The sequence below is a fragment of the Homo sapiens genome, chromosome 20 (genome assembly GCF_000001405.40).
Source record: "Homo sapiens chromosome 20, GRCh38.p14 Primary Assembly".
Taxonomy (NCBI): domain Eukaryota; kingdom Metazoa; phylum Chordata; class Mammalia; order Primates; family Hominidae; genus Homo; species Homo sapiens.
Window position 1 is genome coordinate 59,375,390 of NC_000020.11, and position 2,021 is coordinate 59,377,410.

A 2,021-nucleotide genomic window follows, 5' to 3' on the forward strand; every position below is an offset into this window, starting at 1 on the left:
GCAGCACCATGCCCAGCTAATTAAAAAAAATTTTTTTTAGAGATGGGGTCTCACTATGTTGCCCAGGCTGGTCTCAAACTCCTGGGCTCAAGCAATCTTTCTACCTCAGCCTCCCAAAGTGATGGGATTACAGGTGTGACCCATTGTGCTTGGCCTGTTATTTTTTTTCTCGCTAGCATTTTATTGTATGAACATCCCTGAATCTGTTTACCATCCTGCTATTGAGGAATATGTGGGTTGTTCGCAGTTTGAGGCTGCTATGAATTAAACCATCAGGAATTTGTGCATATGTTCTGATTTCTCTTGGATAAACTCCTAGGAGTGGAATTGCTGGGCTGCACAATGATTACTGTATAGATTTTATTAAAAACAGAAAGCTCCAACGTGGTTGTGCCATTTCCCATGACTCTCAGCAGCTTCTGAGAGTTCCTGTTGCTCCAGATCCTTGCCAAGGCTTGGTTTCAATGGTCTTTTTAATTCTTGTCATTCTTATGTGAATGTAATGGTGTGGCATTGTGGTTTAATTTATGAAACAAAGGATAGTATTGTATTATGATTAAGCTTGGTTGCTTTCACCTGGGATACTCTATGGACAAAGTCAAAAAACAGCTGGTGGCTCCATGAGTTGGGATGAGTGGGGAGCTGCTAGCAGGGGTCTCAGTACACACAGCAGAGGTCACCTTAGAAAGAGAAGTGCCGCCAGGGAGGGCAGGGCCATGTGCCACTCAGAATAGCCCTCGTGGGAAGTCCTAGCCCCTCAAAGCCCTCAGTTTCTGGATTAAGCAGTCCGGTTAGGGATCAAGCAAGGACAAGGGGAGGTAGCAGGTCCTCTGTTCTCCAGGTTGACTCCTTTGTCTCCATTGAACCACGTGTCAGGATTGCAAAGGCCTTGCCTCACAGGGCCCACAGCCAAGCCCCACAGCTGACTCCCAAGGGCCTGGAGTCTCCATTCAGGTGTGTGTTGCAGGGATCTGCTCAGGCAAGTCGGCTGGGCCAGGCCACTTGCTGCTGGCTAAGATGGCCACCACCTGGCAAGAAGAGCCTCAGCCGGGCATGGGGAAAGGTTATAGTGATTGATGCAAGATCGATTTATTTCCCCACTGCCCAGTGCAAGGTCAATCCTGATAGACAGCCCTGAGCCACAGGGGGGCCACCCCTCGACCTCAATATCTCACTCCTTAAAAATCCCAAAGCGCAGGGAAAGGTCAGCTTGCTGGTCTTGGCCTCGTTCACAGCAGCTCCCTGGCACGCTGCCAGAGCTCTGCAAATCATGTCGTGGGTTCCTTTTGCCCCCTGCCTGTTTCTTACTCTCTCAGGCTCCCATGAGGGACATTTCAAGCCAACTCACTCATAATACATTTTAGAATGATGAGGAGGGTGACAATAGTGATGGCGATGATGATGACCATTTCTCGATTGCTTGCACAATGCTAGACTGACTCCATCATTTAAGTATCACAGCCACCAAGTTTGAAATCAGATCTCCAAACTACAGTGGAGAAGTGGAGCTAGTAGCTGAGAAACTTGCCTAAGATCACATTGAACATTGTCTGCAAAGGAGATCAGGGGAGCATTCTGTGAATGTCCTCAGTGATGGACGGCCTGGACGCGAGATGAAACGGGCAGAACAGTGAAGACATAACAAACAATCCTGGAGTGTGGTCGAGAAGTCACCAGGAGAGCTCTAAGTCCAGCAAAGAGGAGCAGGAAGCGTCTGTGGAGCAGCTGAGACCATGTGCTTCCTGGAACAGATGAGGCCTTGCAATCCTCAGATCTGCTTCTGACCTTTAAAAGTAAAACCATGTCAGACACCTCAGCTGTCTGAGTGTACTCACATGTAGGCAAAGAAAATCACCCCCGGCTGCTTCCACAAGGGCAGCTGGCAAAGCAACCACCATTCCCTGTGTGCTGTCCAAGACCCAAGCCTCCTGCACACTGAACTCTCGGCAGCTTCGTGAGACCAGGATTCTCCCTATTTGACAGATGAAGAAACCGAGACTTGGTCACCAGTAGGCATGAAG

The 2,021-nt window shown here is 48.9% G+C and overlaps 1 annotated feature.

The window, feature by feature from the left end:
* Positions 475-976: an enhancer, noted in NCBI's record as "H3K4me1 hESC enhancer chr20:57950919-57951420 (GRCh37/hg19 assembly coordinates)". NCBI's record gives its function as "activates a minimal SCP1, AML or CMV promoter by ChIP-STARR-seq in naive H9 embryonic stem cells {active_cell/tissue: H9 hESC(naive)}" and the evidence as "EXISTENCE:reporter gene assay evidence [ECO:0000049][PMID:30033119]".